The 22,394-nt window shown below is 43.0% G+C and overlaps 3 pseudogenes, 2 gene segments (V, D, J or C) and 1 further gene; all 6 read right to left on the reverse strand.

Moving 5' to 3' along the window:
- Window positions 1–22,394, reverse strand: part of IGH (immunoglobulin heavy locus) — a 1,293,408-nt gene that overhangs the window by 772,263 nt on the left and 498,751 nt on the right.
- IGHV3-33 (immunoglobulin heavy variable 3-33) lies at window positions 1,092–1,545 on the reverse strand. The segment is given in 2 exon segments: window positions 1,092–1,398; window positions 1,500–1,545. Coding segments are annotated over 2 exon segments (353 nt in total), but the record flags the coding sequence as incomplete, so codon positions are not given.
- Window positions 8,692–8,965, reverse strand: IGHVII-33-1 (immunoglobulin heavy variable (II)-33-1 (pseudogene); annotated as a pseudogene). The gene is given in 1 exon segment: window positions 8,692–8,965. A coding segment is annotated over 1 exon segment (274 nt).
- IGHV3-33-2 (immunoglobulin heavy variable 3-33-2 (pseudogene)) lies at window positions 10,399–10,847 on the reverse strand (annotated as a pseudogene). Its single transcript is given in 2 exon segments — window positions 10,399–10,707; window positions 10,802–10,847. Coding segments are annotated over 2 exon segments (355 nt in total).
- Window positions 14,962–15,394, reverse strand: IGHV4-34 (immunoglobulin heavy variable 4-34). The segment is given in 2 exon segments: window positions 14,962–15,265; window positions 15,349–15,394. Coding segments are annotated over 2 exon segments (350 nt in total), but the record flags the coding sequence as incomplete, so codon positions are not given.
- IGHV7-34-1 (immunoglobulin heavy variable 7-34-1 (pseudogene)) lies at window positions 18,601–19,034 on the reverse strand (annotated as a pseudogene). The gene is given in 2 exon segments: window positions 18,601–18,904; window positions 18,989–19,034. Coding segments are annotated over 2 exon segments (350 nt in total).

The following is a 22,394-nucleotide window of genomic DNA, read 5'->3' on the forward strand; positions in this document are numbered from 1 at the left end:
TGAAAAAGTTTTCATGTCAAAATGGAAAAGAAACTTCTACAACTCAACAGCAAAAAGAAAAATAGCCTCATTTTTAATAATCAGTTTTACACCTTTAACACTGTAAGAACCTAGAACTCAGGTTAATGTTTTTCTCCATGGGCAACGGTCCGTCTTTGGGTCTACTTAGCTGGACAATACTGTGTATTGATTTGACAAAACAGTAATCCAGGTGGTGGTGTGAATTTTTAACAGACGTTATTGAAACTGGAATCAGTTGACTCTATGTTAGGTAGATTATCATTGATAACCTGCTTGGCCCTGATTCCATCAGAGCAGAACTGGAGAAGGTAAAACTCCACGGTGATTAAGCAGCTTCAGCTCTTTCTGAGACTTCTAGCCTGCACTTACTGATGGTCGGCCCTGAGGATATTGGATGTTCCAGCCATCTCCCAAAATTGTCATCCCCTGCATCTCACAGGGAAAACATCTTCCTTTTGCAAAAAGCAGGAAAAACAAATGGAAAAAGGAGAAAAACGACGAAAAAAGAAAGTAAATGGATTAGGAACAAAAGAAGCACCAGATCGGTGCTGATACTGATTTGCATACTTTCGTGTCAGGAGAAGGATCAGACGTGAAATCTGTGACGTTCTACATGACGCTGACCCTGGTTCAGCCTCTCTATTGTCTGTGACCAGGATCCATAAAGACTGTTCCAGTCAGGGAATCTCACGGAGGTCCCTGTCCTGGGTCTGATTGGAGAAGAATCACCAGGAAGCCCTGAGGTTACTCAGGACTCTGATCCTTGTGACCATGGTTGAGGAATTTTCATCCGTGTCAGCGTCAATCTGCATTTTGTGCCAGGGAGAAAAGGTCCTCATATGCATAGAGAAGACATTGTTAGGCACAGTTTTCTAAATTTAAGAGGTTCCCTGGGGAACTGTCAGAAGAAGACAAAGTCCCACATCCTGACAGGAAACAGCCTCCATCTGCACCTGCCTCCAGGGCTGACTCTGATCAGTGGCTCCTGAGCGCCCCCTGCAGCTGATTTCCCCCCAGCGTTCCTGCAGGGAGGTTTGTGTCTGGGCGCACAATGACCTCCCCTCACTGTGTCTCTCGCACAGTAATACACAGCCGTGTCCTCGGCTCTCAGGCTGTTCATTTGCAGATACAGCGTGTTCTTGGAATTGTCTCTGGAGATGGTGAATCGGCCCTTCACGGAGTCTGCATAGTATTTATTACTTCCATCATACCATATAACTGCCACCCACTCCAGCCCCTTGCCTGGAGCCTGGCGGACCCAGTGCATGCCATAGCTACTGAAGGTGAATCCAGACGCTGCACAGGAGAGTCTCAGGGACCTCCCAGGCTGGACCACGCCTCCCCCAGACTCCACCAGCTGCACCTGACACTGGACACCTGCAAACAGAAGGACACCGTTATCAGAAAATGCCACACAAATCCAGTTTTTCTCACTCATGTTCACTCACACTCAGTCTCTCTATTTCTCCATGAATCACCTCTTAAAAGAGCAACGAGGAAAACCCAGCTCAGCCCAAACTCCATGGTGAGTCCTCTGTGTTCAGTGCTGATCACCGAATGGAAACACCGCCGACTTCTAGTGCTGGGCTCCTCTCCCAGAGCTGCAGGGTCAGGGCTGGGCTGGTTTTCATCAGTAGAGGGAGGGCCCTATTTGCATGTCCCCCACTATATAGCAAGCTCTGGGTGGGACATCTGAGGAGAGGCTGGGCTCAGGGCAGATGAAGTGTCCTGGGGGAGACTGGTAGTAATTCCATCATTCAGGAAAATATAGTTATATCTTATATGCTTGTGCCTTGATTAACACTTAGCTCTCATAACTTTCTTTTATTCTTACATATTTACACAATATATTTAATGCAGGCTTCAATGTTATATTTTACAGGAGATAATTTACATAGAGAACACAGCAGTTGTGCAGTGTGTCTAAGATAACACATCTAAAAATTTAGTCCTATTACCTGGGCCTGTGCTCTAACCTCTGGAGGAGGCAGCTCCCCTGAGACAACTCCAGGGCAGCATGGCCCATGCCTAGTGAAGTCTGCAGGATTCCCCATCTGTTATGACAACTTTCTGTAATTTATCTAAATACGCAGAGTGAACCATGGTTCATGTGTATGTTTTTGGAAATCAGTTATATTCCTTGTGTTAATATCGATCTATTTATTGATGCAATTCAGTCAAATATTATCTCATCAGTTTCTTTATTGCTTTATTCGAGTGTAATTAATAAATAATTCAAATTTATGGTGAATGATTTGAAAAATGTAGACCTATGTTTGCAACCATTTACTCAGCACTTCAATCAAGGTTTGAAAAAATTAATCCCTAAATCTTTCTCTTATTCCTCTGAAATTTAACTCACATCCCCATTACTCCCAATAGCATATTCTCAGAAACATTTAAATCTTCTCCATGTTAATTTATAATAGTGGCATCTTCTAAAATTTCTACAAATGTATCATGTAAAATTTACTCTTAATTCCTTAGTTTCTTTCACTCAGCACAATTCTTTGAGAATTTAGCCATGTTTTTTTCAATGAGTGAGGCATGACTTGATTTCAAGCTGCATTAGATTCCAGCACAGAAATATATGCCAAACTATTTAACTGTTCACCTGTAACGAAATGTGATTGTTCTCTCAGTTAATGGATTTGATAGAGAAAAGCAGCTACTCGGCATGGGAATGTAAAAATGTGTAAACTATGAGCTTATTCTGACCTCATTAACAACAAAGCTGAACAACTACAAATAAAAAAAAGAAAACCTTCAACATATCTGTGTTGATGTCAGAGAGAAAACAAACAATAAACAAAACCTGAAATCTGAGGAGAGAGGAGGCTGCAGAGAGAAGCAGGACCCATGTATTAGTGTACCTGGGGCAGATGCCACTGGATGGCATTTAAGATCGGAACAGGCTGGCTTGGAAATATTCAGTGAGTTGCGTGAGGATGCACGTGCTCATAGTGTTAGACTGTGAAGCTCCTGGTGCTTGCAGGCTTTTCCTACAGAATTATTATTAATATTCTTGCTGCACTTTATGCAAATAATCAGGCCAAGTTTAAGACTAAAGTTTATTTTGCAAACAACTCAGTCTTATCATTATTTGCTGCCGACAAAAACCAAAACTGGAAAGAGAAACATTGTATTTCAAAACATATCATACACTTGTCTTTAAATTCTAATCTCTTCAGTTGTTTAAGTATTTGCCTGCATTTTAGACTAACTCTGCTTATTCCTGAGCGCCAATCAATGATCTCTGGCTACAGCCCAGAAGAAACAAAAAGCGATGGGGAATATAAAAAATCTGGATCAATATTTTAATTCTAAGCAATTATCCTTTAAATCATGCCAGGTGATGGGAATGAATAGGGTGCCCCTAACCTGGAGGTTTCTTTGTTTGGGAAAATAAATCCCAGGGAGCTGACAAAAGCCAAGCCCCATGCGCCCAAACCTTAGCAGGCATAACTACAGCTGCAGTTATCTAGGAATGTCAGCAGCCTTGGAATTTTCTTTCAAGCTGTCCTTGCCACCTTGTTTGGTTTTCATACATGTCTTCTAATAACCAGATTTGCCTCTTCTCATTTTCAGACCATCAAACTCCAAATGGTCATGCAACTGAAGCCTGGGATAATGGCTCCCTTTTCCTGGGGTCCCTTAGACCTCCAAGAGAGATCTTCCCCAAACAGCATCCCTCCTCAGCTGGAAGCAGTTAAGACTTGTCTTTGTCTCTATTCTAATGACAGTTAGATGTACTTCTTCAAAGAGGAAAATGCTAGAGGTAGAAGGCAGAGAACTCTCCTAGGCAGGTAGGGAAGAGTCCCCATAGAATCTCCAACGCCCCAGGGTCATAGTGCACAGGGAGTTGCCTAGACATGCCTGCAGTGAAAATTGTTAATGTTGTCTTTATCCCTCTCGGAATAAATAGCCACACATAATAATCTAGCTGCATGAAGATAAAAATTAACTAGTTTGAAATTAGAACAATTCCCTATTCACAATAGCAAAGACTTGGAACCAACCCAAATGTCCAACAATGATACACTGGATTAAGAAAATGTGGCACATATGCATCATGGAATCCTATGCAGCCATAAAAAATGATGAGTTCATGTCCTTTGTAGGGACATGGATGAAGCTGGAAACCATCATTCTCAGCAAACTATCGCAAGGACAAAAAACCAAACAACACATGTTCTCACTCCTAGGTGGGAATTGAACAATGAGAACACATGGACACAGGAAGGGGAACATCACACACTGGGGCCTGTTGTGGGGTGGGGGGAGGGGGGAGGGATAGCTTTAGGAGATATACCTAATGTTAAATGACGAGTTAATGGGTGCAGCACACCAACATGGCACATGTATACATATGTAACTAACCTGCACATTGTGCACATGTACCCTAAAACTTAAAGTTAAAAAAAAAACAACCAGAGAAGTGGGAAAAAAAAGAAATTAGAACAATTACCAATAAAATCAAAGTTAGCATGTGGTTTATAATATTAATAGACAAGAGACATGGCTGAATGCTAAGAATGTGTTCACATCTATTATATGTCATGATCAGGAAAATATTTTATATATTCTTTAGGTAAGAGTCCCATTGAGAGGATTGATTAACATTGATGTATAATACCTCAATAATAAAAGTAAAGGTTATTAACTAGTAATTTGTATTAAGAACACAAACTTTCATTTAGGATATATTCTTCTATGTGTTAGGAAATCAACTCAGAAGGCAGGAAACATTGAACTTATTAGAGATGTTTAATAAATTAAAAATGAGAATTAAGTACATATGCTTTTAGAGGGTGCACAACTTTGGAATTTTTTGTGTCGTTTTGTTTGAGACGGAGTCTCGCTGTGTCGCCCAGGCTGAAGTGCAGTGGCACAATCTCGGCTCACTGCAACCCCCGCCTCCAGGGTTCAAGCAATCCTCTCACCTCAGCCTCTCAAGTAGCTGGGATTACGAGTGTACACCACCATGCCCGGCGAATTTTTGTATTTTTAGTAGAGATGAGGTTTCACCATACTGACCAGGCTGGTCTCAAACTCCCAACCTCGAGGGGTCCACCCACCTCGGCCTCCCAAAGTGCTAGGTTTACAGGCATGAGCCACAGCGCCCAGCCTGGAATATTTTTAGAAACAGAGAGGGTTCTTACGTCTTCTGGAAATCCTATTGAGATGGACAACAAGGGAAGAAACCCTCAGATGAATTTCTACCTACTAGAGGGCTGATTAATATCATTTTAAAGCAAATGCTAACACACAAAAAGCTAACATGAAGCTAAAAAAATATAGTGATTCAATACAGAAACCACTCTAGCTCAATCTAGTTTAAAATATTATCTAACCATGGAGGGCACTGTCATTGTTCACAGAAGACAGAGTCAATCCCACTCACAACCTTCTGGGAATGTTTAAAAAATGGCATCGCTACATAAAAATTATCAATTTTAATAAAATGTAAACTTCCTTGGCCAAGGGTTCTCCCACTAGCACTATGGAATCATGGTTCACTCCTCAGGGTCCATCAGTTATTACCCTATGACTTGGTAGCTAAAAGGCCCATACGTTTATAGATTTTACACCAAGGGATCATCTTTGTTCTATTGCATGCATGTGTTACAAAATACGGAAAGGGATTCCTATGTGATATCCACTCCAATCATGAAGAGTTAAAACTGCCTTTTTACTACATCTTTTCCGCAGTGTCTTCTGATCTTCAACAAGGAAACTGAAAGGAACATCAGCAGAAAATACTGCTCTTGAATCATATTGGAAGGAATCTTATCAGAAACTTTTAACTAACTCACTGCACAAAACAGTCAGGCAGTTAATTATTGGCTTCATGTTTTACAACTGAAGAATCAATTCAGGACAGATGCAGTGGATCTTCCCTATAATCACACCACTTTCAGAAGCAAAGTGAGGGAAATCACATGAGACCAGGAAATCGAAGCCAACCTGGGCAACATAAAGAGATGCTATTTCTATGAAAAAATATTTTAAAGAATAAGCAGGTGAGGGGTGGCGTTCCCCTCTAATTCTAGATATTCAGGAGGCTAATACAGGAAGATTACGTGAGTCCGGAGCTCAAAATTACAGTGAGCTATGATCACACAACTGTACTTTAAGCTGTGGAACAGTGTGAGAGCCTGCCTCTAAAAACAAACCAAAAAGAATCAATTAAGAATTCCACACAACTGTAAATCTACTCAAATAGGAGATGCTAAACTGAGCATCCTCATTGATTGCCTGGCATTTCTGATGTTTTTAAGCAGACGTGTGACCCAAGACCTGCAGAATAAGCTGATAGTCCTTGATTGTGAGAAGCTTCTACCCAAGACATTAGGCCAGGACCCTAATTCCCCATCCCCTCCTTCTTTTTCTCATTATTATTTCCTTATATTTCTAAAGTCATCTCATTTCTGTAGATCTGGGTCTTGTCCACCCATACTGAACCCTTATTTCTTTTTCATTATTTTTATTCTTGCTACCTAGAATAAGTTGTCGCTCTATCTTTTGGTGCATGCCTGTTGATTACTTAAGGCTCACTCCTCCATCATCTCCTTTTTTGCCACACAAGGTGAATCTAGTTTGGACTCACAGGAGCTTCTTCATTCAATGGCAGTGGGAGTTTCAAACCTTATAAACCCCGATCTGTGAGTGGGAAGCCTCACTGTGCCACCACCACTAAACCATTATAAAAACCCTGAGCCAGTCTCCTTTCCTCTTCTTTCAAGCCATTTTAGATTTTCCTGCGAGACCTGCCCTGCACTCAGCAGACACCTACACTGTGCAGATAATACACTTTTCCATATTCACTTGCTCTGAGCTTATGACTTCATCAGACATGACACACACACTAAATCTCAGTTGAGATCTCTTGGCTTTGCATGTTGTCAACTACAACGGATGGTGTGAGCTTGGTGTCACTGTTTCTTTTTTTTTTTCACAGACGCTTCTCAAAAGAAGACATTTATGCAGCCAAAAGACACATGAAAAAATTCTCATCATCACTGGCCATCAGAGAAATGCAAATCTAAACCACAAGGAGATACCATCTCACACCGGCTAGAATGATGATCACTGTTTCTATCAACAGTACACACTGGATCCCTGAAACAACTCCAGGACACAGCTGGACATGTGCTATAGATTTGTTTTGTGTCCCCACCTAAATATCATCTCAAATTCTAATCCCCACATGTCAAGGGAGGGACCAGGTGAGAGGTTATTGGATCATGAGGGCAGTTTTCCCATGTTGTTCTCATCATAGTGAGTGAGTTCTCACAAGAGCTGATAGTTTAAAACTATGTGTCACTTCCCCCTCTCTCTCCTGCTGCGCTGTGTGATGTGCCGTGCTTCGCCTTCACCTTCCACCATGATTATAAGTTTCCTGTGGCCTCCCCAGCCATGCAGAACTGTGAGTCAACTAAACCTCTTTTCTTTGTAAACTCCTCGTCTCAGGTAGTTCTTTATACCACTGTGAAAACGAACTAATATCACATGACTGGTGGAGTTTGATAAACTTTCTTAATGACAGTTTATAGGGGGGTTGATAGGGTTTGAAACTCCCACTGGCATTGAATGAAGCAGCTCCTATGAGTCCAAACTAGATTCAGCTTGTGTGGCAAAAAAGGAGATGATGGAGGAGTGAGACTTATAATCAGTGCTAAAGGTAGTACTAATTATACTAGGTAAAATTTGGTATCAAAGCAATTAGACAGAGATAAATAAAATACATGAAAAGTCAGAAACTCCTGAATATACACATGAATGAGTGCTGAACATTTCTGTATTTTTAGAGAAATGCTAGAATACGGCAAAATAATGGCATGGGGTTAAATAAAAAAATAATAGTCTCCACACGAAGTGTTCAATTTTACAAATATGGTCATAGACATTATCATTATCCACATAGATAACAAGTCAATTACCCTCAAAATATCCTCTTGTTCTGTAATTCCTCCTTCCTAGACCTTCCCTTCTCCTACAATATTGACAGTGAACTACTGATTTTTATGTAACTTTAGATTACTTATCAATACATCAGGTAATAAAAGTTATAGATTTATGTGTGTTGTGGGGTGGCTGTATATAAGTTTCTGTGTGAGAGAGAGAAGGAGGGAGGAAGGAAGGCAGAAAAAGAGAGGAATCCTACATAATTGACCACAATTTATGAGGTTCTCAAGTAATTATGGGGAATTAGTCCTTACAGACAAGGCTGATATAAGATGGAGAGGACAACTTGACACACCTAGCTATGGTTATATATTTATATCAATATCATTTTCTAATCATACAAACACATGCATTAGAATAGAGGTAGTGGAGGGTGTCTGGTGGTGAAACATGATGGTGACACAAAACGCCTCATCCAGCCCCTTTTCACACCAGCTGCACATGCCCTGAGGTTGAGCCTTGAACCTGCTCTTTCTGAATCCCCACAATAATCCTGAGCCCCCTGCTGTACCAAGCACCCTTTGGTGTCCTGATTTTCCCCCATGGTTCCTGAGAGCCCCCAGCTACCTGCATGCCTCTACAATGGTCTTGAGTGCCCCTTGGTGTCCTGAGGGAGCCTGGTGTCCTGAGTAACCCTGGCTGTCCTATGCACCCCCACAGGGAGGCTTGGGTATGAGTTCACACTGTGGTTTCCTCACTGTGTCTTTTGCTCTAAAATACATGGCTATGTGTTTGTTGCTCACATAGTTCACCTGTAAGAAGAAGTACTTTTTGGACATGGATCTGGAGATGGTGACTGGACTCTTGAGAAGAGGGGAGTAATCTGTGCTCCCTCCATGACCTATGCACCCGATCCACTCCAGTACCTCCCATGGGGGCGCTGATGGATGCAGCTCCAGAAGGAAACACTGGTTGTGATGGAGAATGCAGAGATGGCACAGGTGAGGGAGAGGTTCTGTGAAGGCTTCACCAGGCCAAGAGTGCACCGAGAAATACAGTTGTTGGCAGCCACAGGTTCTGGAGAACACGCTGAAATTTCCAAATACTTACATTTCTATGAGAATAACGAGCTCACTTGTGCTCAATTAGTGAGTCTCCTAGCGTAATGCCGTGGATGCTGATGTTGGATTCAGACAAATATAGGGTCACATTTTTCTCCATACTTGGAACCAAGTAATAAAGAGAAACTTATGTCAGGAGAATGGCCATTGAACTATCTCTGTTCATGGTGATTTTCAGAATAGGCTTGAGATGTGATCACCTAAAGGGTGTCGTAATACTTAACCAACAATTAGGCCTGAGCAGCAGTCACAGGCACTGGAGGTCGCCCACATGGAGAAATGTCTGACTCACTGAAGCTGCACCTGGGGGTCTCTGCAGGCTCTGAGTTGTGCAGAAACAGCTCCTCCCTTAGACTCAGACTGAGGACAATCTCTGCTCATTCTCTGGGGAAGGTGAGGGTTAGTGTGTGGAAAGAACCCAACTTACTTTGCTCAAGATCTCTGTACTTGAACAGAAACAAAGAGTAGGAGAAAAAATGATTTCGGTTTTACATAGAATAAATTATCATGAGGAAGGCAATAATATGTCTGGATCTTGCACAGAATTAAGAAACAATGAATTTGGGGTAAAGTTGAAAATTACAATTTCTTTGCAGATTCTGTTTTTAGTTATCTATGTCATCTGCAAAAATGAAGTAAAATCAGGGTTTTTATATAAAAATTCACAAACAGGGTGCTGGCCCTGCGAATGCACCTCCCATCTCTCCAGCATCAGGGAGCCCAATAGAACAGGCAGCCAGCTGCTGCACTGCACTCTAACACCCGCCACCTGGTGTGTGCCAAAGACACCCATCCTGGGAGCTCCTCCCAGACAGTGGCTGTGCACAGTGGAGACACTGAGGCATGGCTGCTGCTGGGACGCATTGGACATCCCTGATGGACAACTGTGCTCTGGGAGGCACCAATGGTCTTCCTGGACTTATCTTGGACCACAGGGTTGTTAGGGAAGGTCCATCAAACTCCCTTCCCTCTCCAGTACTAGTGGTGAGATTGACATTCTGGGGTGACAGTATCTACAGCCCCGCCTGGCCTCCTGTGCATTTTTTGCTTCCATTACTTACATCTGCTTTGGGACAAATGAGAATGTTTCCTCTTCCTATAATAAACTTTTCTAATCCAGAGATGTCAGGGGTGGCCACAGAAACATAAATGTCCAGAGGCTCCGAGGGGAACTGGTAGATGCAGAGGAGGCCACAGACCCTGAAGGAAAGCAGCCCATGATAACCATCTGTACCTGCCCTAGAGCTGCCCGTTTTCAGTGGGTCCTGAGTGCCCCTTTTAGCCCAGCCTCCTCCCTTGTCATTGCAGGAAACTGTGTCTGTGTTCACACTGATGTCCTCTTACCTGGTGCCTCACATACAGTAACACACAGCTGTGCCCTCTGCTCTCAGACTGTTCATTTGCAAATACAGTGAGTTCTTGGCATTTTCTTTGGAGATGGTGAATTTGCTCTTCACAGATTGGGCATAACATATCTGACTTCCATCACACTGTATATCTACTACTCACTCCAGCCCCTTCCCTGGAGCCTGGGAAACCGAGCTCATTCAGTAGCTACTGAAGGTTAATCCAGAGTCTGCACAGGAGAGTCTCAAGGATCCCCCAGGTTGTCTTGGGTCCTCTCCGGACTCCACGAGCTGTACCTCTCACTAGACACCTGCAAACTCGTAGACATCCTGGTCAGAAACTCCCAGACATAATCCACCATTTCTCTCAAGGGTATCCACTCACGCTCAATCTCTCTAGTTCACCTTTTAAAACAGCAACAGTGAAAACCCAGCTCAGCCCAAGCTCCATGGTGGGTCCTCTGTCTTTAGTCCTGATCACCAAATAGAAACCCCTGGGAATCCCAGGGCTGGCGCTTCTCTCCCAGAGCTGTGGGGTCAGGACTGGGCTGGTTTTCATCAGCAGAGGGAGAAACCTATTTGCATGTCTCCTACTGTATAGCAAGCTCTGGGATGGGAATCCTGAGGAGGCGCAGGGCTCAGAGCAGACAAAGTGCCCTGGGGGAGATTGGTAGTCATCTTATCACTCAGGAAAATATCATTATATTATATGATTGTGCCTTGATAATCATTTAGCAGTCGTCATCTTCTTTTTGACATATTTGTAGAATACATTTAATGCAAGTGTCAATGTTACATTTTAAGGAAGATAAATTACATATGGAACAGTGTTTATACAATGTGTTCAAGGTCACACAGCTGGACAGTATTAGCCCCATTATCCATGCCTGTGTCTCTGACCACTAGAGGAGACTGCTCCCCTGAGACAACTCCAGGGCAGTGTGGGACACGCCTAGTGAGGTTTGCAGGATTCCACCCCCGCCAGGACATCTCTGTTTTCTTTTAATGTATTCTGCTCTTTACCTAAAGTATACAGAGAAAACCAGTGTTCAAGCATGTGTACTTTCAAGAGTCTGAGATGTTTTGAGTGTTCATACCCATCTATTTTTTGCTCCTCCTCAACCAACATATTCATTTGTTTCTTTGTTACTGCTTTAAGTACAATTAATAATTAATTCAAATCTACACTGCACCATTTGGAAAATGGTAACGTATGTGTGCAAACTTTAATCAGGTTGTGTACAATTAAGTTAACCCCTAAATCTTTCTGTCACTTCTCTGTAATTTCATCTCACCACCCAATTACTTTCAACACCCATTTCTCCCAAATTTCAAATCTGCTCTGTTACTTTAGAATAGTTGTACCTTCTGCAGTTTATACAATTAGAAGTTTATGAAGTGCACTCTTAATTCTTCAGCTACTTTCACTCAGCAGAGTTATTTGAGAATGTAGACATGCTTTTATGAGAATGAGGATGCCTTGATTCTAATTCTGCATTGTACTTTAGTCCATAATCATATGTCAAATTTTTTAACGTTCACCTGTAGTGGATATGGATATTTGATTTGTTCCCTTAGTTTCTGGCTTTTATATAGAAAGTGGCTACTCAGCGTGCAAATGTGAAAAATGAGGAAACTATGATCTTATTCTGACCTCCTTAACAGTAAACCTGAAAAACTGAATAAATGAAGAAGAAAACCTTTTAACATATCTGAGCTGCTTTCACAGAGCTAACGAGAAGACTGAAATGTGAGGAGAGAGATGCCAGCAGAGAGGACTGGGGCCCACATGTTCGTGAACCCAGGGCAGGTGCCACTGGATGGCACTGAGAGAGGAACAGGCTAACCTGGAAATATTTAGTGAGGTTTCTTTTTGGATACATGTGCTAATGGTATTAGAGTGTGAATCTACTAGTCCTTGCAGGCTTTTCCCAGGAATTTGAAAAATCCACAGTCAACTCCCTTATCTGCTGTCCTGTGGTGCTGACAGGAAGGGAAGAACAGCGAGGACTGTTGAACGCCTGGATCCACCCCCACTATTTCCAGGGGAAATCCAATAAAACCTGTATCCTATGGGGGTGTGGTGGAGTCAACAGAAACTAAAGAAAACAGAAAATTCCCAAAGAACTCCATCTAGAAGAAATTCTTAATCTGCAGGGTAAGTACAATGGAGGAGAAGCTGAGAACACTGGTGAGAAACCATTGTGGTTGGGAAGACACTCTACCCCTGGGGGAAGAGGTATGGACAGGAAAATTGGGAAGGTCACCCCCAGAACTATGATTTCTACTCATGCATAAGAAGGAGGCTGATTCAGAAGGTTGGAGAACGTCTCCATTTGTTCAAGCCCCTTCTCCACATGGTCAATAAGTCTGCAGAATAGTGAAGTAGCTACATCAGCTCCATTCTGACCTCTGTCATGTGACAGTTTTTGTGGATTTGCTTTCTGCTCTCTCAAGATTTGTTTCCTCTCTCAAGTCCTAGCTCCATTCTCCTATTCTCAGTTTATTGAAGAGATTCATATTTAGCTTAGAACATTACAATTTTTGGAAGAAATTTTCATCTTAAACACACCAAATCTAATGAGCTCTCTCCAGGGGTGCCCATCTGTTTTTTTTTCTTCCTTTCCTATGGGATATGGCCCTTTTTTTCTCCATGAGTCCAGCTCTTATATTCATATGCATGAGGAGTCTAACCATCACACACCCAGAGACATGTTGCAGGAATGGACTCTACCATCCATCTCCTCAGCCCTCATGTGCACAGTGGCCACTCTGTCAGCTGCTGTATGTGCTTTAGGGATTTCCATTTAGAAGTGTCTTTCACTTTCCCCCCAAATAAAGTTCCTTGTCCTTAAATATCTTGACGAGCCAGTCTTCTTTTCTGTCTCTTTGTAGTTAATATTGTTTTATTCCATTAAAATTCATTGCGAACATCAGTGAAAATGGAAGTGACCAGCCATCCCTTCCATTGTCTGACTTCTGCCTGATGGACCCACCCATGAGCTTTACTCCACTGCTCTGCAGCTGATGGGGCCATCTGGACCTTTATTAATAAGAGGTGTGTGATTTATTAGAGAATTACTGAGATCAGCAGGTGCCTGAGCTCCTCAGAACACAGGTGTGGTCCTGAAGTAGAGTGTGTGTGACTGAAATCACACATGTGTATAACTCGTGGCCTCAGCCCATAAGCTGATACCAGATTCTGGCCATTCCTGGGTAGCCTGATGAGGGGTGTCCAGAGAAGGATGGATGCAGGATGTGGATTTTAGAAAGTGATGTGGTGTTTGGGGGCATTGATGGCCAAATTTTAAGTCTATTCTGTCCTTGGTACTTGGGGAAGACTGGGAAGAAAGGAACAAAACTCAGACCCCATGTAGCTCCCCATTTAGGAAGAGATTCAGTGCAAATTTCGAAAGCCGAAGAAATAGACCATACTGCAGGGATCATTTCTGTAGTCCGTTTGAGGTGGTAGAAGAAAAACAGTGATGCTGGTGATGTTGGTGTGGTTTTCTGTGACATACTAAGGAGAACAGAAGATGATCAGTGGCCAATCTCCATCCAGCTGGTACCTATCGTCTATTTGTTATGTCCAAATAAAAGATAAGGGACATTTGTTACACACACACACCAGGGCTGGTTTCAGAGACCATGCTCAAAAATGGCCAACAGAGCCATGACACATTTTTATATGAGAACTACTATTTTTGCCTACTTCACGTGGAAATCTGAGAGATGCAGTGCCCAGCCTCAGGGGGCTGCTTCTCCCTCCAGGAGACAGAGCTAACAGAGTTAGGTGGTATTAGTCAGTTTGGGTCTTCGTAAGAAGACAACAGGATTGGGTGGCTTAAACAACAAATATTGATTTTCTTACAATTCTACAGTCTGAATGTCGAAGATCAAGGAGCTGGCAAAATTGGTTCTTAGTATGGCTTCTTCCTGGCTTGCACAGGGCCACCTTCTAGTGCACTACGTCTCCACATGGCCTCTTCTCTGTGTGCACGTGAAAAGTGAGAGGTCTCTGGTGTCTCTTCCTCTTCTTATAAAGACAACGGTTTATTGCATTAGGGTCTCACACTTTGACCACATTTAACCTCAATTACATCATTAAAATTCCAGTATAGATCCATTGGATTTAAGGTTTCAGTAAGTTAATTTCAAATAGGGCACAATTCGATTGATGAAACAAATCAAGAGATGGTGAGAATCCATATATGGCAAAATGAGTCATGCAGGAACTTGTAGGAAAGTTTCTAGTAATTGGTGAAACCTCAACAGTAAACAGAAAAATTGTCTTCCTCCTTTCTTCCCTGCCACAAGGATGTGAGGAAGCAGAACCACAGATAATAAAGAAAGAGAGTCCTGGGGACATCTGAGGTGCTGGCGAGGAGACAGACCACTGAGCTGTTGAGGAAGCCCCGCCCTCCTTGCACCTGCTCCGGACCCGGCCTCGGGATCTGTGGGCGCCGCGCGCCACCTGCTGGTCTTGAGCAGTACCTGCGCCCGCCCCCTCTGCCTACCTGCAGGGAGGTTTTTGTCTGGGCTCACACTCACCTCCCCTCACTGTGCCTCTCGCACAGTAATACACAGCCGTGTCCGCGGCGGTCACAGAGCTCAGCTTCAGGGAGAACTGGTTCTTGGACGTGTCTACTGATATGGTGACTCGACTCTTGAGGGACGGGTTGTAGTTGGTGCTTCCACTATGATTGATTTCCCCAATCCACTCCAGCCCCTTCCCTGGGGGCTGGCGGATCCAGCTCCAGTAGTAACCACTGAAGGACCCACCATAGACAGCGCAGGTGAGGGACAGGGTCTCCGAAGGCTTCAACAGTCCTGCGCCCCACTGCTGTAGCTGCACCTGGGACAGGACCCCTGTGAACAGAGAAACCCACAGTGAGCCCTGGGATCAGAGGCAGCATCTCATATCTTCATATCCGCATTCCTGAGACACTCACATCTGGGAGCTGCCACCAGGAGGAGGAAGAACCACAGGTGTTTCATGTTCTTGTGCAGGAGGTCCATGACTCTCAGAAAGCACTTCCCATGTGAGCTGGACCCTGAATTTAAGGAAATGTGTAGTCATTTCCTGTGGGTGCCTAAGTGAGGATTTGCATGTGGGTGGTGCCTTTGTATGGATAGGTAAAAAGGGATGAGGGAGGCCCCAGTCTTTTGGGCTCACCCTGGGAGGTGTATGCTGGCTGTGCCCTCTGAGAACTCAGTTCTCTTCCTGTGGCCTCCCCTCACCAAACCCAGAGTCCTCTTCTTCCAGGTAGGAAATGTGCTGAAGGAGCTGGTCTGGGAGACAAGTGTGATCATGGATCAAAGACAGATTTTGGAATACAGTTAATACTGTTCTACATTTAAAGATTCATATAACACCAACCATACACCCAGGTCACCTAAATTGTCATTTACCCCTTCAGACATATTGAAACAGCTGCTGAGTGTAATAATCACAGTGAATTGAGACAAACCTGGATCCATGCAATGTGTACTGTAGTTCAGAACATCCATCATGGTTAGAAGGATGCTACCTGTCCCAGGAAGTGGGTTATTTTTAAATAGTACCTGAGAGCTGCCCTTCTGAGACCTTTTGAAATTTGAGATTGTGTGTGAGATCTCAGGAGAAGGTAGTAGAATATATCTCCATCCTTCTCAATGTGTAACCCTGAGAATATGGCCTGACCTCTAAACATTTCTGTGTGAAAAGATGTACATTGGGGATAGCAGTGACAGCTTCAGATGAAAACTCTATAGTACATCAGCACTGGAGGATAGTCTCATCACCAAGATTAGTGAAATTACCTTTCCTGGGAACCAGAGAGGACCTCTGTGAGCTCTACCCTCTGAGAGAACAAGGAACTCTGGTTCTTCCCTGACAGGTCACACCTGTGAAACATGGCTGGACAATGACACTCAAGCCCAGAATTCGTACCCACATATTTACCAATTCAGATCCATCTGTCTCTGAAAGAATTTCTCCTCCGCTGAATTGCAAGAACATACCCTAGGGTGTGCAGTATTGCAACTTGGGCATTTCACATTAGTTTGGTGAATTATATAATACACAAAATATCTCCATGGATGTTGTAACAGGAGAGTCATCAGAAGCTGGTTGTGTTGTATAATCTGGATAAACCTGGGCTCTCTTCTTAGGAGCTGAACAAGTGGGCTGGCCTTCTATGAGACGACAGAGGGAAAGAGACAGACTCAATATCCAGAGCGAGGTGAGCTCCTTACCTACCTACCAGGTGGTCTCTGGGCCATTTGTTTGAGCAGACCCAGAAGTACCTTCCTCACCCTCAGGAGAATTATGAACATTGAGAGAAACTGAGATACTTTTTTTATTTACAGGGAATATTTCATCGGCGTGTAGACATCTACGTGGGTGTGTACAGGGATGCTAGGATGTGCTCATACACAGAAGAGCAAGAATTATATTTCGTGGAAAGAAAACCAAAGAGCTTCTGAATTTGTAGGTATTGTTTGCTGCAAATGTGTCAGGTCACTAGATCATGTTATGCTGCTAGAAGAAAAACTTCCCAACATTGTCATGGAGACAAAATGCAAAACAGTAAAGATTCAACTGAGATTCCCTTGAAAATCACCAGTAATGAACAGGCCAAAAGAAATCAACCATTGTGGAAAGAGTGGTCATTAAGTGAAATAGCAAATTCCATGTTGCAGTGAGAAGGAAGATCCATCTGACAGCTCATTTTCACCTCTACAAAGACTTCAGAACATAGACTAAGAGCAGAGCGTGAACTTAGGGCAAACAGAGGCCAGATGTTTGAGGAGGTTGGAGAGTGAGCTGGAGTCATTGTGAGCCATTCAGAAAAGCAGAGTGTTCCAGGGTGTATTGAGTCCTCCTGAGTTAAGAGGTGCTGAATATACGCAAGTTTCACTGCCCTCATTGCGTTTTATTCTCTAGACTCTCTTGGATGTCCAGATTTGAACATGTGGAGTGTTGATGGAACTCAACATAACTAGGAACTTTTCAGTGAAGGTGTAGGTAACAATGTGGGTATAATTAAATTCGGTTTATGAAAATATTATTATCCGAAATGTCAAAGTCAGTATCTATTAATTTATCTTTCTTTTGTATTTTACAGACAAGATTATTCTGTTGCCCAGGCTGGAGTGCAGACTCACCTATTAATTTAACAGCATAAAAACGATCAGTCCAATTTACGTAGTCCTGTAATCTCCATCAAGGATTTAGGTCCATGTGGCCTGTGACAGAGCTCTAGTCACAGAGGGAAGAGAGTGGTTTGTTGGGTTGATGCTGCTTCTTCAGAGGGGAATTTAAACAACTCCTCACCTCATCAAGTCTATTTTTATAACTGTGCAAGACCCTTGGGAATGCACTCACCATTTCTTACATAATGGGAGTTGACTGTGTCATGAAGGTAACACGAAGATGTGCAAATTTAAAGCCTGGTTACATAACCTGTTGAATTTAAAATGCCTGGAGCCAATCACATTCTGGCATCTTGTTTAATTAGTTCTGAATGTATTTTCAGTTGGTTAGTTCAAGTTCCCATAATTCACTTTCTGCTAAAATAGTCACATACAATAATCTTGAGATATTAAAATAAAAAAACTAATTTGAAAATGAACCCAACTTCCAGGAGAGATGAAAGTTCCTTTGTGGTGAAGGGTTGAAATATGGTTGAACACTGAGGTTGTCTTCACAATTGTTTTAATTAGGGGAACTTCTATACATCCCTTATATTTATTAGAAACTCCCATTGAGAACCTTGAACTAACGTAATTAGTTGATGGAGCACACAACAACAATGCTGAAGGTTATTAAGCAGGAATTGCTATTACAACGTTAGCCTTGCTTTAAAGCACATATTTCTACCTGATGTGAAATTAGCCCAGGTGCGCTGATGAGAGTTTGTCAGTTAATCAAAGACCAGGAAATGGATACACGTGTTTCTGGAGCAGGGCATGGCTTTGGGATGCTTTGCGAAAAAAGTGGCTTCTCACGTCTTTGGGAAAACCCATCAAAATGGGCAAGTTAAGGATCTCTTAGGAGCACCCGTCTATCCCATATTCTTGGCTAATATTAAAGCGGAACTCAATGCAAAATGAGATACTATGGAAGTTCAGAAAACTGCTGTACCACTGCCTCAGCTCAGCACAGCTGCCTCCTTCCTCAGGCTTTCTGAAACTCTCGGGATGTGGGTTTCCACACTGTGTACTTCGCACAGTAATACTCGGCCGTGTCCTCAGCCTTTAGGCTGCTGATCTGAAGACACGCCGTGCTGACAGACGTGTCCATGGAGAAGACAAACCATCCTGTGAAGCCGTGGGTATACGTTGGGTTCCCAGTGTAGGTGATGATCCATCACATCCACTCAAAGCCCTGTCCAGGGGTCTATCATACCCAATTCATACCATAGATGGTGAAGGTGTAACCAGAAGACTTATAGGAGACCTTCACTGAGGCCCCAGGCTTCTTCACCTCAGGCCCAGACTGCACCAGCTGCAGGGAGTGGGCACCTGTGGAGTGGACACAAGAGTGGGTGAAGTCTCACATGACTGGCCTGGTTTCTTCCTCAGCCCTGAGACTGGGGAGCCCCTTACCTGTTGCTGCTGCCATCAAGAAGAGGATCCTTCAGGTCCAGTCCATGGTGAGGAGCTGTGATCTAGGGGCTTCTCCAGAGGAGGGGTGTGGTTGTTGGGTGAGGCTCTCAGGGAACGGAGATACTATAGTCACCTCAGTTAATTGCATATTCATGAAGGATGCTATTTAATAGCCCAATTCCTGACCCAGTATGAGAAACAGACACATGGGTGACACAACTGTAGAAGCTGAGGGTTCAAGCCGTAATCCTGTTAGAGGCCATGTGTCCCCTACACATCCCTGAACTCTGTGTTGACAGAGCTTCCCCCACTGGAGAACAAGCTCCTCAAGGACAGCACCTCACTTTGAAACCACATTTGACTGTCTCAGGGTCAACTTGCATCATTTCTAGACCATAATATGTGAATGCGTTATTTAGGGAATGACTGTGTTTATCCAAAAATTGCATTTATTTATAAGAAAGGATCTCTTCCTGACCTCCAGCAGAGTTTGAAATCCCCATTGTAAAAGTGGTTCTCATTACAACATCCAGTTTGATAAATGCTCACAATTGAATAGATATTTATACAAACTTCAGCAGTCTTTGTGAAATACTTATTTTAGATATTTTTAAAGGAAGTCCCAGGCCCTGGGAGGAACCTCTCCCCAGCCTCCTGTGCACCTGCTCTGGGGCGGGAGCCTGTGCTGGGTGTATCCGGAGCGCCCCCTGCAGCCCAGCCCCAACCATGCAGGGAGGTTTCTATCTGAGCTGACAGAGTATATTCCTACCAGTGTATCCAGCTCAGTATAAAGTGGTTGTGCCCTGGCTCAGAATTCTCCTTTAGGGACACCACATGCTCCTCACACCATCTTTTGAAATAGTGAATTGCCTTTAGGAAACCCAGTGAACTCTGCAGAGAGACTCCAAGAAAAGATCTCATGCATCACCAGGGAGCCCTTTCCTGGAGCTCAAGAGGCACAGAATCATTGGACACACGGTGAACCCAAACACTCTTCAGGGGTTGAGGGGAGACTCTTATTTCCTTTAGGGTCCTACAGTTGATTATGGCACCTGAGAATACCTGCAGGTGCAGGTACATGTGGATAGAAACCCACTCCAACTCTGCTATTCAACTCACACATGCGCGCGCGTGTGTACACACACACACACACACACACACATATATATATATACATCGTGGCTAATTTTTATATTAACGGATCCCATGTTTGCCATTTTTTTCTGGTATCCATCTCATGGAAAGCGCTCCCTACACTGGTACTAAGACTGAATATGTGTCTACTTTCTGTAAACAGAAGTAAAGAAACAGAATACAAGTGGACACTTGGGAAGTGCATGCACATTGAATTCACCTGGTCTCACTTTGGAACCCTGCAGATGCCCCGTGAAAACTAAATTTGAGGCCAATGAGGGTTACATCATTTCATTAGTGGTGAAGTTGCTGAAGTCAGAGGCTTCAAATTGCTTTATTTTTCATAACATTTTTTATCCGATTTTCCTCCTCAGATAGAGTTTGCGAATTGCCACACTCTCATATTTAATCCATATTGACTAAACTGGTGAGACGTAATGCGTGGAACATGGAAGCATTACATGTTCTTACAGTTGCATTTTAATGCTATGGTGATCTTCTTTCTCTGGGCTGTGACCGATGCAAGAAGTCTCCAGGTGTGAAGCTGATTTTTGCTGTTTTCTGGCTGGAACATCACAGGAAAATTTTCTTAAATGTAATCCTATTGGCTAATTTTACCCATTTTCATGACAAAGGAAGGTTGCTGGTAAGGCTTGTAATGGGGATAGATTGCCTTTCGCCACATAGATAAGGATCTAAAAATGTCCTTCGCCTGTTTGTCTGTATGAACAAGGTCAGAGATTTTGGTCTCCTGGTAATAGAGCCATGAATGGATCTTGTGGATTCTCACCCTGAGAACCTAGAGGTTCCTGGAGGAAGGGAGATAAGAGTATGGGGGGCTGGGGCTCCCAGGATCTCTCACCCTCACGCTAGTCCAGACAGGCCCTTTATGTTTATTTAGTTCAGATATATAACAAACCACATAGCCAGGCTCATTTAAATTATCCATCCTCAGTCTATATTGGGGCAGCAGCTGAGTATAATAATTACACTGAACTCAGACAAATCGGGCCCAATCCAATTTTTACTGTAGCTCAGAGCAGCTTTACTGACTCACTTAACTTGGAGATTATTTCTTCCCGGAAAGAACTGTAAAGGTTGCTGTGGAGCCTCTGTAGGGTTGGATTTTTTGCATCAGCCTGTCATGCAGGGTGTTCTGAATGATGCAGACCTTTATACTTAGATGGTAATTATTCCTAGTGATGTGGAAATGGCTGGCAGCCCTCAATTCTGTTTCTTTCTTTTGTTCCCCTGAGTGTCTACAAGAATCCCATGAACCTCAGGACTCTCCTTCAACGGATGACTCTGAAGATTGACAATCAACTCAGTGCTACAAACAGAGGGAGCTAAGTGAGGATTCTCAATTAACTGATATGTTGAGCCAGCAACATAGGACGCATCCAAGAATGAACCATTTTGTCAATGCCTATCAACATTAAATTCGAGATTTATGATTTTCAGTACATTGGAGTTAAAATTTTTATGATTCTTGACAATGAGGTCTCAAACTTGATGGTTTGCAGATGAAACCAACTTGTCATGGTTAGACAGAATCTTCTTTTTCTAGGAAGCTAGTCTTTTAAACTAAAGCACCTGAGAGGTGGTTTCCTGAGATCTTGTGAACATGTATCTATTGGAGAAAAAAATCAGGAAATCTGGTCTCAAATAATTGACAGAAAGCTTATGAAAAATTTTTATCAACACAGCCATGAAACTCCGGTTAGTCATTTTTTTGGTTCTTTTGTTACAACTCAAGAAACAATTAAGAAATCAACACAATCGCAAGCCTACTCCAAAAGAGATCATCTTTCCATACTTCAAAAACAGACCAGTATTCATAGACACTTCTCCATTAGATCTACAACTTACACAGATTTCTGTAACCTGAAGAAGTTTCTCTAAGAAGATTCTTCTCTAGACATCTATGTATGCTAAAATACATTGTGTTTATTTATGATTAATCTGTGCGAGCCCTTGGCACATTAAACAAACTTCATGTAAATGTGATAACTTTATCACTTACTGTGCTCTCACACTTTACTGGTTTCAAAAGTTCATCACCCTTGTGATGGAGCAATAGGTGCCTTTGAGAATATGCTGTTGCTTCAAGCGAACACATTCTAGATCCTCACTTGATTTCATCATTTCATATTGAGTGTAGGTGTGTCTATGACTGAAAACCCAACAGTTTTATCCAACAGATTCTCCTCTTATGAGATCATCCTGAAACCTGCCAACCACCTCCATCATGCATGCTTCCAATCTTTTGCTT

This window comes from Homo sapiens, chromosome 14 (assembly GCF_000001405.40).
Source record: "Homo sapiens chromosome 14, GRCh38.p14 Primary Assembly".
NCBI lineage: Eukaryota > Metazoa > Chordata > Mammalia > Primates > Hominidae > Homo > Homo sapiens.